Genomic DNA, 16,738 nt, shown 5'->3' on the forward strand with positions numbered 1-16,738 from the left:
TTATTTATTAAAATGCTGGGATTTTAAAATCACAGACTGATGAAAACTGCTTTTTCAATGCATTTTTAATATTGCCAAAAAAATTCTTTTCACAAGCGCAATGACCAAAATAACCCAGACCTTATTAGTTTATTCACCTTAAATTTGTTTTTGTACTATGTATGAAAATGAGCACTCATATACTATGACAATGGCAGTAAACACTTTGCTTTGTTTTTACTGAAAGAGAAAAAAATCGACTTTAATTTGAATACTAAACCATCCAGAATATCTAGCTGAAAACATGTTTTTATTATTTGCATTCTTGGGTTTGGCTTGTTATGCTTTGGGCATATCTGCTGATATCACTTGCAATATTTTTTCATTTCATATATTAATATTTAATATTCTTTAAACATTGTTCAACCTTAATGGTTGTCTAATTTCTGTTTTTCATCCACAGAGAAGCTATTAATTTATGAGCGTATAGGGCAGTAAGTAATAATTTGCATGAATGCCTTGAACAGATATGCTTCCATAGGCCGCCCATAGCATAGACTCGGAAAGGGATGATACCATCTATTGGCCAAGCTCCAATGAACACTGCTTTACAAGAAGCAGAAAAAAAAAGTTTTTTAATCCATAAAGAAGTCTACTAAATGAAAAATCAACAGAGATGACAGGAACCGGTTTGTTTCTGCTCCTTTTTTCTTTTGTGTGTGCTCTGCAATTCCCTTTTGGGAGAGATTTGTGAAAGAGCAAAGCAAGTAGCTGAAGTGCTTTGAAGAACTGGAGAAGAGCCCATCCCTATCTGTGTCCAGAACTTCACTCTTTTCCTCCAGTAACTCTGTCGACAGAGATCCATGCTCACATGTTGCCAGCTGAGCTAAGCCAAAATAAGGCCAGATGGGATAAAAAAAAATTAATCAATGAATCAGTCTAACCAGTGGCTTAGCAGTATCTAGGCAGCTGAAATCTGCTGTTCTCCATCTCACTGGCATTGATATTTCTCATTGTATGAATCTGACAAATGGCTTCCGGCAGCACAATATCACCTATGTTCCATCTTAATCTTGGAGTTGGAGGTGTAACTGCACATTCAGAGGTGAGAGGATACTTTATATGTGAAAAGACATTAGGTTGATTGCCCTCAAAACAATCTCAATACTTCCCTCCTCCATAAAGGTGTGGAATTCGTTCCCCTTGGGCCAGGAAGTCAACGATGAAGGCAATCACCGTTCCCACAAATTCTGTCCCCAATTTCTTACCCTCCCTAGTCCTTCTGTCAGTCTCCTAGAATTATCTTCTCTAAAATCTGGGATTTACAGTCACCTCAGGACAGATGTCACTCGGCACACCAGGTAGACAATTAAGATAGTTACCCAGACAATTTAGAAAGGACAAAATAATTTTTCCTTAATTATCTGTATGTTACAGTTAGTCCTTTCTTTTCAAATAGCTATGTGATTGCTATAATTCTCTTTTTAAAATTGTTTTCCTATCTTGAACAAGCCTTATGGGTATAGTAGAAGTTTAATAAGATTTAGATAGAATTAGTGCCCACACTAATAAAATCTAATCTTATAATCCAGTATTTCGGCATTCAGAAAACATACCCACCAGAAGGAATGATTTTGCTAACTTTCCAGGCAGTTAGATGACTTGTTTTGATGGAGTGAAACCTAAGACCCTAAAAGTATTAAATGAGGCTCTTAAAATGTCTTCCATACATTTTCTCATTCTTGTGCTGAATTTATATCAAGGCAGCAGACTTTCTACATGTGTTTCTTCTTATTAAAATACCAAAATGAAATTAGTAGTGTTTAAATTATGAGTGTACATTTTTAAAGCTTCATTATTTTGGATAGAGGGGTGTATTAGTTTATTTTCACACTACTGATAAAGACATACCCGAAACTGGGAACAAAAAAAGGTTTAATTGGACTTACAGTTCCACACAGGAGGCCTCAGAAACATGGTGGGAGGCAAAAGGCTCTTCTTACACGGGGGCGGCAAGAGAAAATGAGGAACAAGCAAAAGTGGAAACCCTTGATAAACCCATCAGATCTTGTGAGACTTATCAACTATCACGAGAATACCACCGGAAAGACCAGCCCCCATGATTCAATTACCTCCCCATGGGTTCCTCCACAACACATGGGAATTCTGGGAGATAAAATTCAAGTTGAGATTTGGATGGGAACACAACCAAACCATATCAAGGGGGTGGTTGGTTTGTTATTTTGGGCTAAACTTTTTATGAACCAAGAAAGCATATTTGGGTATACATTTATCCATGAGTGAATTGTACAGAGCTAAACATACAATCAACTGGGGCATTCCTTTTTTTTCTCATGGAATTTTACAGTATCTTCAAAGATTTATTTGGACAAATACACAATTCTTCCTCTAAACAAATGTCCCTTATCAGTGATCTAGCTCAAATCACATGTGTATAGAAATATATTAGGTATGTAACATGAATAAAGCACAGTCTGGTTGAAATAAAAGTCTTCTTTCCTTAACTTTTAGTTTCAGGTGTATATGTGCAGTTTGGTTCTGTAGATGAATTGTGTGTCATGGGGGCTTGGTGTACATATTATTTCATCACCCAGATAGTAAGCATAGTACTCAATGGGTGGCTTTTAGATCCTCATACTTCCCCCACCCGCCACCCTCAAGTAGGCCCTGGTGTCGGTTGTTCCCTTCTTTGTGTCCATGTGTGCTCAATGTTTAGCTCCCACTTATGAGTGAGAACATGCAGTGTTTGGTTTTCTGTTTCTGCATCAGTTCACTTAGGATAATGGTCTCCAGCTCCATCCATTTTGCTGCAAAGAACATGATCTCTTTCTTTGCTATGGCTGCCTAGTATTCTATGGTGTATATGTATCACATTTTCTTTATCCAGTCTATGTTGATGGGCATTTAGGTTGATTCCATATCTTTGCTATTGTGAATAGTGCTGCAATGAACATATGCATGTATATGTCTTTTTGGTAGAATGATTTATATTCCTTGGGTATACACCCAATAATGTGATTACTGAGTTGAATGGTAGTTCTGTTTTAAGTTTTAAAGCTACACTACATTCCACAGTGGCTGAACTAATTTACAATCCCACCAGCAGTGTATAAGCCTTCCCTTTTCTCTGCAGCCTTACCAGCATCTGTTATTTTTTGACTTTTTAGTAATAGCCACTGAGACTGGTGTGAGATGGTATCTTATTGTGGTTTTGATTTGCATTTCTCTGATGATTAGAGATGTGGACCCCATTTCTTCTTTTTCTTTTTCTTTTTTTTTTTTTTGATACAGCATTCTACTCCATTGCCCAGGCTGGAGTGCAGTGGCACAATCACGACTCACTGCAGCCTCAACTTCCCAGGCCAGGTGATTCTCCCACTTCAGCCTCTCAAGTAGCTGAGACCACAGGCACGCACCGCCATACCTGGCTAATTCTTTGTAGAGATGGGTTTTCACCATGTTGTCCATGTTGGTCTCAAGCAATCCACCCACCTCGGCCTCTCAAAGTACTGGGATTGTAACTGTGAGCTACCATGCCCAACCAAGCATGTTTTCATATGTTTGTTGGCCACATGTATGTGTTCTTTGGAAAAGTGTTTGTTCATCTCCTTCGCCAGCTTTTTACTGGGGTTGCTTGTTTTTTGCTTGTTAATTTGTTAAAGTTCTTTATAGATTCTGGATATGAGACCTTTGTCAGATGTATAATTTGCAAATATTTTCTCTCATTCTATGGGCTGTCTGTTGATTCTGTTGATAGTTTCTTTTGCTATGCAGAAGCTCTTTAGTTTAATTAGGTACCACTTGTCAATTTTTGTTTTTGTTGCAGTTGCTTTTGGCATCTTAATCATAAAGTCTTTGCCAAGACCTCTGTCTAGAATGGTATTCCCTAGGTTTTCTTTAAAGGTTTTTATAGTTTTCGGTTTTACATTTAAGTTTTTAATCCATCTTTCTAATCAGGACCTTTTGCAATTCCAGAATCCTCAATGGCAGCCTCCTTCTTACAAGAAGGTTAAGAAATGACAAGTTGGGTAGGGAAGAAAATAGTGAAAAAGTGACTTCATACAATGTTTTCAAACCTTACAAAATCGATTTTTGTAACAAACCCATTTTCAAATGGGAGAAAATAACCTGTGAAGATCATTCTAATAACATTCTTGGCTGGGCGCAGTGGCTCACGCCTGTAATCCCAGCACTTTGGGAGGCCGAGGCAGGTGGATCACGAGGTCAGGAGATCGAGACCATCCTGGCTAATACGGTGAAACCCCGTCTCTAGTAAAAATAGAAAAAATGAGCCGGGCGCGATGGTGGGCGCCTGTAGTCCCAGCTACTTGGGAGGCTGAGGCAGCAGAATGGCGTGAACCCGGGAGGCGGAGTTTGCAGTGAGCTGAGATCGCACCACTGCACTCCAGCCTGGGCGATAGAGCGAGACTCCGTCGAAAAAAAAAAAAAATTCTTATCAGATGGTAGTTTGAGGCAGGATAGTGTTTCTGGAAATTTTAAGATTTCCAAATAAAATTCAAAATTTTTTAAAGTTTTTAAACCTCTTCCAAAATGAACAAAAAAATGCATGATTACGTTTTTTCTAAATGTAATGAAACTTCACTAAATTGCACTTGCTGAAAATAAAAGCCATCTAATTCATTTATTTTAAAAATAAAACCATTTTTGGAATAAAGTTAACTATTTTCAGGTATAAACTGTGTTTTAATATATAGAATTCGCTAAATGTTGCCTCAAAGGCACCAAATGTTAGCGATAGATATGTATGCCTGTTTTGGAAGCCAGAGTGAATGAAACCATTTGTTCTTTTAAATATTTTAAATACTTGCTATCAAATAACAGTTACCCTATTATTTTGCATAATCTCCATTAAATGGATTTGTTCAGCAGAGAGAAATTTAAAGCTAAATTACACAACATTCTAATTTAGTGATTTTTAAATACGTTTTTTAACAATCAGTCTTTCAGCCACCATCGAAAGGAAATGACACATTTCAGGAAATGTCTACATATAGCCAGGTGGCTCTGAATTTTATAGACTGGGATTGAGATGTGCTGAATAGAAAATAAAGCAGGAGAGTCAATGTTCAATTCTGCTCTACTAACATTTATCGATTCCTTCCTTCTTAGTGCCAAGCCCTCCATGAGATCCTGGAGCTAAGAAGATGACAGGAGCACAGTTACTGGATTTATTCAGATACTCAACTACAGTTCTCACGCTCTTTCTATATTTTCTACTTGCAGAGGGGTTTTTTCCGCCTCTGATTACTCTATCCCACCTGGTTATGCAATCACTTCCACCCACTAACTGTCCAAATTCACAGGAGAATTTTCAGACATCACCCCACATACCTTTCCTGGTCTCCTAAATATATAGAAAGTGCATTCTGCAACACGATATCACATAGATCAGTTGCCTATTGCCACGATAAGGCTACAGGACAATCACAAAACTACAATAGATTATAGCAACCCACATTCAGCTTATGAGTCAATGAGGTTAAACTGATCTGGCTACAACAGCAAAGGCTAGGCTTCAAGTTGGTAGACAGATTTGCTGGTTTCGGCTCGGCTTGTTCACAAGTCTGGGGGACCAGTTGGCTGTCACTGGCTGATCTAGGACAGCCCAGCTCATTATCCAGCAGGCTAGCCCAGGCATGTCCTTCTCAGGAAGGTGACAGAGAGCAAGAGTGAGCCAACCCAATGATGCAAGTGCTTTTCAAGCTTCTACTCCTATCATGTCAGCTCAATATCCTGTTGACCAAAGTAGGTTGCATGGCTAACGCCAGTGTTAGAATGGAAGGGTATAAAAATGACATGGCCACCGATATGAAGTGGGGACAGGTAAAGGACTGGGGCCATTTTTGCAAACTATAACATGTGTAGGTAGGAATATACCTAAACCAATGTACAAGAGTCATACTGTGCAACACTTTCCAAACATTACCCTGCACTGTGGAAGACTTTACCAATGTGATAAACTCCATCTGCTGAACTTAGCCCTGCTCAGTCCTTTCACAATACCTCTTGAGTTCAGGAGGCACTCAAGGAAGGACAGGGGCCTCTTGAAATCCAACGTGGGTCCCAGGATGACAATTACTACAGGACTTGACATAGAGAGCAGCAGAAAATTTGTCACTTCTCCTCAGCTGTTAGAAGTAGATCAAAGGTAAATATAAACACCTCCAATCACCAATTAAGTTAAAAGAAAGAGGCCAACACTAAATCTACCAGCAGAAAAATACTGCACTTCCTCTCTCAGCTACTGAAGCATGCCCAGTAAATGTAACCAATACCCCAGCCCCAGCCCTTTATGGAAACAACTGCACTGAACTCCCATCCTCTGAGGCCGGGTGCAGTGGCTCATGCCAGTAATCCCAGCACTTTGAGATGCCAAGGCGGGAGGATTGCTTGAGCTCGTGAATTTGAGATCAGCCTCAGCCACACAGCAAAACCCTGTCTCTACAAAAAAATACAAAACCTAGCTGGGCATGGTGGTGCCTGCCTGTAGTCGCAGCTACTTGGGAAGCTGAGATGGGAAGCTGAGGTGGGAGGATGGCTTGAGCCCCGGAGGCAGAGGTTGCAGTTGGCTGAGATTGCTGCACTGCACTCCAACCTGAGGCAACTGAGCCAGACCTTGAAAAAAAAAAAAAAAAAAAAAAAAAAAAACAACCTCCCATCCTCTGGATAAAGTAAACCTAGAGCAACTAAAACTGTACTAAAGTAATCTAATTATTTTTTTTTTTTTGAGATGAGGTCTGGCTCTATCACCCAAGCTCGATCACAGTGAAGCAATCTCAGCTCATTACAACCTCTGCCTTTTAGGGCTCAAGTGATCCTCCAACCTCAGCCTCCCCAGTAGCTGGGACTACAGGTGCATGTCACCATGCCCAGCTAATTTTTTTTTTTAATAGATGGGGTTTTGCTGTGTTGCCTAGGCTGGTCTTGAACTCGTGAACTCAAGTGATCCTCCTGCCTTGGCCTCCCAAAATGCTGGGATTACAGGCATCAGCCACTGTGCCCAGGCTAGACTAAAGTAATCCAGACTAATTATCTGTATGTGTGAATGTGGTGGTGTTGAGAGAATACAGGCATCAAGGGCCTATGTGGCCCTTAAAGACAGGAATTGATTGTGCTTGCTTGCTTGCTTTTTTATTGTGGTAAAGAATACATAACATGAGCTCTAGGCTTTACCAAAATTTTCAGTGTAGAGTGCAGTACAATATTGTTAACTATGAGCTCATAATTGTACAGCAGCTCTCTAGAAGTTTTCCAGCTTGCATAACTAAAACCCTATACCTGATGAACAGCAATTCTTCCATTTCCCCTAGCTTTAGGCTCTGGCAACCACCATTCTACTTTCTGCCTTTATGAGTTTAACTATTTAAGACACCTCATGTAAGTAGAATTATGTAGTATTTGCTTCTCTGTGTCTGGCTGATTTCACTTAGCATAATGCCCTCGATTTCCATCCATGTTGCAGCATGTGACAGGATTCCCTTCTTTCATGGCTGAATAGTATTCCATTGTGTATAGGTATCAGATTTTCTTTATGCATTCATCCATTGATGGGCATTTAGGTTGTTTCCACCTCTTGTCTATTTTGAATAATGCTGAAATGAACATGGGAATGCAGATAACTTCTTGAGCTTCTGATTTCAATTTTTTTTGGATACAAAAATGGGATCATTGGCTGAGGCAGAAGAATTGCTTGAACTCGGCAGGTGGAGATTGCAGTGAGCTGAGACCGTACCATTGCACTTCAGCCTGAGCGACAAGAGCGAAACTGTCTAAAAAAATAAAAAATTTGAAAAAAAGGGATTGTTGACTCCTATGGTAGTTCCATTTTTAATTTTTGTGGAAACTCCATACCATTTTCCATAATGGCTGTACTAATTTACATTCCCACCAACAGTGTACAAGTATACCAGCTTCCCCATATCCTCACCCACACTTGTTATTTTCTGTTTGTTTTTTGTTTTCAATCTTTTTATAGTGGCCATCCTAACAAGTACGAAGAGATCACTCACTGTGGTTTTGATTTGCATTTCTCTGATGGTTAATGATGTTGAGCATCTTTTCATAGACTATGTTTTCTTACCCATATAATGGGTAGGTACTACATTAATTTTACATGACTGAAAAAAGAGTAGGGTCTCATTATATGTTCCCAGGGGAGCCAAATCCAAAAATAATTTCACTTTTTAATACTGGTTAAACAACAACACAACAAAGCTGCACATGCTGCTTAACAGAGAACTTCAAAAACTCCTATTCATTCTCCGAGAATAGAGAACCTATGTCCAAGGAATTTTCTATTCACTATCAGCAAAATTAATCTTCAGCATTTAATCTCTCATCACTCCTCAAAGACATGAACAGGGCTATCATGAGCATTTTCCCATGATTGTAATAAGGAAAGGAAGGGAAACAAAGGAAATTCACACTATGGGAGACACGGTCATTCCACACTTAGACTTTGATTTGTGCAAATGGGTTGTGGTTGTTGAATCTGAAGGATACTTTGGCATGTGAATATATGCTTCACGCTAGCCCTCCACTCCAGACAGGCTACATAATTTGCTGGGCCCAGGGAAACATGAAAATGCAGGGCCTCTTATTCCAAAATGAAGAATTTCTAGACAGCAGCACAGAACATTAAAACAAGTGCTGAGGCTTCTAAGTAAGAGGATCCTGTGTGACTGCATAGCTCATGCGCCCAGGAAGCCAACCCAACCTACACTTTCTCCCACATGGTAAAATGAAAACTTCTTTTCCCATGCTGGACACCTGTCAAATGTCAGAAAAAAATACCCATAAGCAGCTCTGTGTTCCCAAATAACTGGCAGGGATGACAGTTAAGGCCCTTAAAATCTAATGGGAAAAGAGTCCACACATTGCACCTGTTGAAATCAGTTTTCTTTCTAGAGAATTCCAAAGGTTCACTTGGTTTCAAAACCCAGACATTCACTTAGAGGCTAGAATTTTGCAGTCAGCCACAGCCAGGATACAGAGCAGTTAATTCTGGCTTGTCATAATTAATTTATGGGCAATCATTACCAGGAAAGAAAAGTCACTGAGAATTACACAAGCACACAGTATCCCCAGTCAATATGAACACAGAGTTCAGGAGAGACTTTGGGGAGACCCAAATCAAGCCTGGCTTTACCACACTCTGTACAACTTATTAACCTTAAGCAATGAAATGTTTATGAGAATCAGAAAGGAATCTCAATGAACAATGAGACATCTTTTCTAAGTGCTTGCAAGTAGCAATGACCCTTAGAATCTCACAATAGGAAAATGGATATTTTGAGAAACCTACGTTTTTTGTGCTCACCACTTAAGTAATCAGAGGAAGTTTCCTTTACTTTGTGGTGATTTATAAAGTGAGCGGTTGGCCTTTTCATCCATTATTGTTTTCACAAGATTTATTTCCTCTAAAGACGCTTTTATTTATTTTTTAAAATCATAACCAGCAGCACAGTCAGATCCTGAGTAATTTATTCTTGATTCTGCAAATTACATTAATGACATAATTAATAATTTTAATAAAAAACTATGGCTGTCAGATGGGCACGTCATCTAATCAATAGGAACAAATCATTTTCTCTTATGTTTAATGATTCCCTCGAGAAGTGAATCTAAGAAAAGAGAAAAGTCAGTTAATGAGGAGGTTGCAGATACTGTCTCTTTTATCAGCAGAATTGAAAATGAAGGTTTTCTTTATTGTGTAAATTTCAACCATTGGAAATCAATTTTTGTACGTGGAAGGAGGCGATACGTGGGGTGGACTTCAATACCTGATTTTTATGTTGTGAAATCCCAGCAGAACCTAAAATTATAGTCCACCACAGCTTTTAGTGATTGTCCAAATACTCTGGAAATCAAGATTAACTCACTTTCAGAAAAAAATCTGATTCTTTAAACCATGAAATATATAATTGGGAGCTAAAGGAGTGTGAGATACCACTGAAGTTCCACCCTAATGTGTCATCCATCAGTCGGGTCCTTGGAAAGACTGGAGGTACCCGGCCAGATAACATGGCTGGTGGTGGGGGTAAAGATGTGATGTTTGTAGACTCAGAGCTGCTGGGTTATCTTAGAGCCTTGTCTCTGGTTTGAACTGGGCTGCCAAAGCTGTGGAGGGTTTCTTGGAATTTGAGCTACCCAAGAAGAACATAAAATCACTTGTTAACTCAGCTTGCTCCTTTTAGACAAAACCAGGGTATAAATGCCGTCATGCTCCCTGCACGCTTGCCATCAGCTTAGGGGGAGTCAAAAGAACCATGTGGCAACAAAACAGCAGCAATGTTAACTCATGAAAGACACGGCCTTCCTTCATAACTTCCTCTTGTCTTTACGCCCAATTTCATCTTATGCAATGATTTGATTTGGTGTGGGAATCACTCCCTAACTTCTATCTTGATGTTTTTCCATCTGCAATGTCATTTAATTTTGCCATTCTTTCAACACTCCTATTGCCCTGAGACAAGGATTTCATTGGCTCTGTGCTTGTCTCTCTCTGTCCCCACCCTTCTTATAAGCCAAAGCACATACCACATCCAGATTCATCATCCTAAAACACAGCCACCACCTGCCCTTCCCTTGCAAACACCCATGGTCAGCTGTCTACTTCTCTGCATCTCCACCGCCTTTTTCCTTGCGGGGCACAGGTTGAGGGTCGGGACCTTAGTTTTGCATTTTCAGAAATTCAGTTGTATCAGCTTACCCAGCTTGTATTCACACTAACCAAAAGCATGAAAGGCTGAGTTGTAAGCCAGAATAAGTTTTCTCTCTCTCTCTCTTTTTTTAAACAGCAAACAGACCTATGAAACCATCATGCAGATCCATTGTAGTATCTTAGGGCAATTTCTTTCTCAAAAAAATTTTTTTACAATTAAATGGATCTAACATTTAGTACAAGCCTTATGTTTATTTCATTATGGAACATATATTTGAAATATCCTCTTAGATATGTGTGTACCCATCTTTTTTTCACTTAGTACATTTTATTATATTGTGTAATAAACTTTGATTATGAACAATTGAGAACTACTGAAGATGACCCAGAGAGATCATGATTCATTCCCTCAGCTCCAAATGTATAATAATGACAGATAAAACATAGAAGAAAAAAAAAAACAGAAACATAGCCTGGTTTCAAATGCAAGGTAAGTGCTTCATTGTATCAGAAACAGGACAGAAAATAAAATTGTGAGTAGGGCTAAAATATAGGTCTATTGAGCTCTGAGTCCAGAGGTAGGAAGCAGTAAACAGAAATATGTCCCTTTCAGAGTGAAAGGGATTCACAGTGCTTGTGTGCAAGGGGCACTGTAACAGGCTCATGCCTTGAATCCAGGACTGGGGTTAGGCCCTCTGTCTCCCCCAGGGAAGGAGGCTGAAGAAAGCTGTGGCAGGATCGCAGGTTGCTGCTGTGGCATTATAGAAAGCTGCAGACCACTTTCATGGCAGTCTTATGAGTTTGGTAGAACAGATCTCCCTCTGTTTTGCTAGAGAGAAGCTGCTAGAGCCGTAACATGTAGGTACACTTAAATGGCAACTTCGATAAGTTACTGAAGGTTGGGTGTCCAGAATAAGTTTTCAACGAGAAATGTTACCACTAGATAGCTAGAATCTCTCTCCAGCTGCTCAGTGTTTTCTTTAGAAAGAAACCAAAGAACATTTGGTAGCAGGATAATTAATTAGAGCATAGCAGATGGAATGATCTTACTGACCAGTATATTCATGTGATGATACCCAGTATCAGTCAGAAGATATTGACTACATGTCTACCAACAGTTAAGCTACTGCTCCAGACCCTTGGGTTTCATCAGTAAACAAAAATGACAAAAAGAAATTCCTTCTGGGCGGGGGTCGGTGTGGCTCATGCTTGTAATCCCAGTACTTTGGGAGGCTGAGGCTGGCGGATCACTTGAGTCCAAGAGTTTGAGACCAGTCTTGGCAACATAATGAGACCTCATCTCTACAAATAAAAATAATTTTTGGGCTGGGCATGGTGGCTTATGCATGTAATCCCAGCACTTTGGGAGGCCGAGGTGGGCGGATCACCTGAGGTCAGAGTCCGAGACCAGCCTGGCTAACATGGTGAAACCTTGTCTCTACTAAAAATACAAAAATTAGCTGGGCATGGAATACAAAAATTAGCTGGGCATGGTGGCAGGCACCTGTAATCTCAGCTGCTTGGGAAGCTGAGGCAGAATTGCTTAAACCTGGGAGGCAGAGGTTGCAGTGAGCCGAGATTGCACCATTGCACTCCAGCCTGGGCAACAAGAGAGAAACTCCGTCTCAAAAAGAAAAAAGTTTTTTAATTAGCCAGACATGATGTCACATGACTGTGGTCCCAGTTTCTTGGGAGACTGAGGCAGGAGGATCACTTGAGCTCAGGAGGTCCAGGCTGCAGTGAGCCGTGATCACACCACTGCAATCCAGCCTGGGTAACAGGGTGAGACCCTGTCTCAAAGAAATAAAATAAAATAAAGAAATTTCTTATGGAGTTTATATTCTATGCAGAGAGAAAGACAATAACAACAGTAACTCTGATAAAACATTAAATTATATAATATGTGGCATGAGTTGAACTGTGTCCTCCAGACCAGAAAGATATGTTGAAGTCCTAACCCCCTGTACCTTAGAACGTGAGCTTATTTAGAAATGGGGTCTTTGCAGATATAAGTAGTTAAGTTAGAATGTGATCACACAGGAGTATGATCAATATGAGGGGTACAGCAGCAGGAGAAGGCCATGGGATGACAGAGGCGGAGAGCAGAGCAAGGCAGCTGCAAGCCAAGGAAAGGCCAGGATTGGTGGCCACCACCAAAAGCGAGGAAGAGGCAAAGAAAGATTCCACCCAGAGTCTCAGAGTGAGCATGGCCCTTCTGGCACCTTGACTTTGGGCTTTTACCCTCCAAAATCATGAATTAATTTCCGTTGTTTAAAGCCGCCTCTTTCTGATACTTTGTCCTGTCAACCCCAGGAAACTAATAGATACCTTAGAGCGTGGTACACACTGGGGTTGGGGGTGGAATAAAGGAGCTTGTGGTGCAACTCTGCAGGGAGAGGTGGGTTGCAATGGTAAGAAGAGTGGTCAGAGTAAGCTTCATGGAGAAAATGAGATTTGAGTAAAGACTTGAAGGAGGTGATGGAATTGGCCTTGTGTGTATCTGGGCTGAAGAATGGCAAATGCGAAAGTCCTAGGTGGAAGCTAGCCAGACATGTTAGGGAACAAACAAGGAGGCCCTCATGTCTGGAGCAGAATGAAGGGAGAGCTTTAGGAGCCGATGTCAGATGCACAGTGAGGGAGCTTGCTCCTTCCGGGCTGCTATGAACTCGGTCCTTCCAGGATGCTATGAAGATGGGGGCTTTCACTCTGAGTGAGATGGAAAAACTTTGGAGGATTTTGAGCACAGGAGTGACATGATCATTCATCTAAAGGATCCCTCTCCGGCTACTCTGTTGAGAATAGATTTTTGAGGGCAGAGAAAGGCACTATTTCAGGAATCCAAGTAAGCAAGAGTAGAGGCTCACTTTGCTGTGCTGGTCATTGCAGTGATGAGAAGTGGTTGGATTCTGAATATAGTTTGAAAGTAGAGCCAACGGGACTTACAGTTGGATTAGATGTAGGGTGTCTGTTGCTTCCCAAGTGCCAGAATACCCCATTACTTCTTGGAGAATATTGGAGATACCCAGATAAAGTCTTTCTCATTGATTTTCCCTTTCTAGCATGTTACATTGAGATGCTTACCTCTCTTTCATGAAAAAAATTACCTTGGATAGATTGCAAGAAATATTTTTAGTATAAAAGTACTATATATATATGATTTTTAAAATAGTCAAACAGTACAGAAGGACATAATATGAAAATGAGGCCAGGCATGGTAGGTCATGCCTGCAATCCCACACTTTGGAAGGCCAAGGCAGGTGGATGGCTTGAGCTCAGGAGTTCAAGACCAGCCTGGGCAACATGGGAAAACCTCATCTCTACAAAAAATACAAAAATTAGGAGGGTGTGGTGGTGCGTGCCTGTAGTCCCGACTACTTGGGAGGCCAAAGTGGGTGAACCACTTGAACCTGGGAGGTTGAGGCTGCAGTGAGCCATGATTGCACTACTGCAGTCCAGCCTGGGCAACAGGCTAGAGCGCAATGTGACCCTGTTTCAAAAAAAAAAAAAAAAAAAAAAAAAAGAAGGAAAATTAAAAGCCTTTCTCTCCCTCCCCAGTTTCACAGTTCAGCTATAACCACTACTAATAGTCTATTCTCACAAAAAACCGTAATGCACATATCACATATATGTGACATAGCCTATCTTTTACCCAGTTAAGATCATATATATACCGTTCTGCTTTTTTTCTCTTACGTAAGTGTATGTATAACTTAGACATTGTTTCAAATCAACATTTACAAAACTACCTAATTCTTTGTAATGATCATATAATATCACATTGTATGTATACACCATGATTTAATTAGTTGATCTTTTATTGATGGACTTTTTTAAGGTTGAAATAGACACCTTTCTAAATAACAGTAGTAAAAAAGTGAACATACATATAGCACTTACTATGTGCCCAGCACAGTTCTAAAGAACTCTTCTATTTCTCACAAGATCCCAATAGGCAGAGACTACCACTATCCCAAGTTTACAGGTGAGGACACTGAGTCCTAAAGGGGCTAAGCAACTTGCCAAAGGTCACATTGCTGACATGGGATAGATCAGTCCATCCTGTAGAACTTCTCTATTTCTTTATACCTTATAGGACCACTACATATTTGTGGGACAAAATCCTGAAACAAAATTGCTAGACCATAGAGTACATGTATTTTAAACTTTGACAGATAATCTCAAGTTGACCTCCACAGAGGTGGTACCAATTTACAACAAATCATATGAGAAAGTTTCTTTGCACATGCTCCTAACAACATTGCTTGCAATCAGATGTTAAATCTTCACCAAGCTGACAGAGGAAGAATGGTATCTCATCTGTATTTTAATTCCTAGCTATTTAATTGTGAGTAATTTTGAACATTTTTTTGGTGTTAGTTGGCCATTTTTGTGGGTGTATAAACTGCCTGTTCATGTCTTTTGCCCGTTTTCCTTTGGGTTGTTCACCTTTTTTAAAAAATAAACTCATATGAGCACTCTTTGTATATTAATGAAATTAACCCTTTCTATGTTCCAGTTAGTTCTCCAGTTTTTTGCTTGTCTTTTGCCTTTGAGATTTTTTTTTTCTATATGAACATTTGACAAATTAGTTGTTTTCATTTTATAGTTTCTGTTCTTACTCATTCTCTTAGTGAGAATTTAAAAGACCTTCTTTTCCATGTATGAGAGTGCATTGAACTAAAATGGTAACTTTCATTTGCATTTCCAAAAGAATTTCATTGCAAATGAGTTGCATATTTTGACTGCCAAAATAATATTATTTTGATAATATCATTCATGATATATCAACAGACAAATAGGATGGATTTAGTGGATTCACAATTATTTAAAATATTTTATTATATTAATGTTGATTAACATCAATGCAACGTAAAAGGAGAAGATGGTCACTAGTGGCATACCACTAGTCTCTGTATTTAGTTCCACCTGTTTGATATTTTGCTTAAATATTTGGACTAGAATAAAATAGGCATGCTTACTAGATTTAGTAATGGTACAAAGATGGAAGGATTGTTGATATGCTAGATGTTGGACGCAGATTCAAATTGATTTTAACAGTTTGGAACAATCAGCAAAACTAATAAGGTGGAATTTAATCAGGATAAATGTGAAGTTCTGTAATGAGGTTAAAAAATGCCTGAACATTAGAGGGTGAGAGACACCTAAACCACTGGTAATTCAAATAAAATCATTTCAGGGGTTTAACTTAATGAAAATTGCAGTACTGGCCAATAGACAGAATTGCCAGAAGAACTAATGAGATCTTGAATTACATTAATAGAAATATTTCATCCAGAATAAAAACAGCAGGAGTCCCACATGTATGCTTTGCTGGTATGCCTACACTGGAAGTACTGTTTTAGTTCTGAGTGTCATATTGTAAGGGCTATATTGACAAAATAAAGTTCTCCCAAGAATGGAAACTATATCTTGTGATATTTAAACTAGAAAAGGGGAATTGTTATGAGAATAATCATTGTTAGATATTTAAAGGACTGTTAGGTAGAGGTATGCTTATATTTATCTATGTAGCCACAGAGGATGAAATTAGGACAAGAGAACTGAAGTCATAGAAGGGAGACTCCTACTCCATTTAAAAAGAATTGTCTAACGTTGAAGCTTCCCAAGAATTGAATGATTGTCTTATGAGAGAGTGAAATTTCCATCATCAGGCTCATTCAAGCTGAAGTCCAAGGGTGTTTTAAAAGGAATTAAACACTGGCTGAGATCAGATATAAGATCAGTCACAGGGAATTTGTTACCTGTGATTTAAGGGGGCCAATGCTGGCAGCTTCAGTGTTAGTCCTCTAGTAATGGCATTTTCAATTGCTGGCATTCCGTTAAGCATCACTTGAGTTGGAAAGGGGGGAACAGAGTTTCTGCTCATCCTATTTGCTGCAGTCAAATATATGTGTGCAACATTGGTAGTGTGTCTTGCAGGAAAAGATCATCTATCATGTCTGTTCATGCAGGAAAAAAAAAAAAGGACAAAAAGCCACTAGTCCGATGATCTTAAAAATCCCTTCAGTTCCTGAGACTCAAGATTCTGCAAGT

At 39.5% G+C, this 16,738-nt stretch overlaps 1 long non-coding RNA gene across 1 annotated transcript in view; it reads left to right on the forward strand.

Moving 5' to 3' along the window:
- LOC101927284 (uncharacterized) overlaps nt 1-7,640 on the forward strand; it is a 174,470-nt gene extending 166,830 nt beyond the window's left edge. Inside the window, exons 4-5 of the long non-coding RNA NR_110754.1 lie at nt 3,292-3,366; nt 5,131-7,640. This is a non-coding gene — a long non-coding RNA (uncharacterized LOC101927284). The remainder of the gene's footprint in view (nt 1-3,291; nt 3,367-5,130) is intronic.
- Nucleotides 7,641-16,738: the final 9,098 nt, after the last annotated feature.

The sequence above is a fragment of the Homo sapiens genome, chromosome 13 (assembly GCF_000001405.40).
Source record: "Homo sapiens chromosome 13, GRCh38.p14 Primary Assembly".
NCBI lineage: Eukaryota > Metazoa > Chordata > Mammalia > Primates > Hominidae > Homo > Homo sapiens.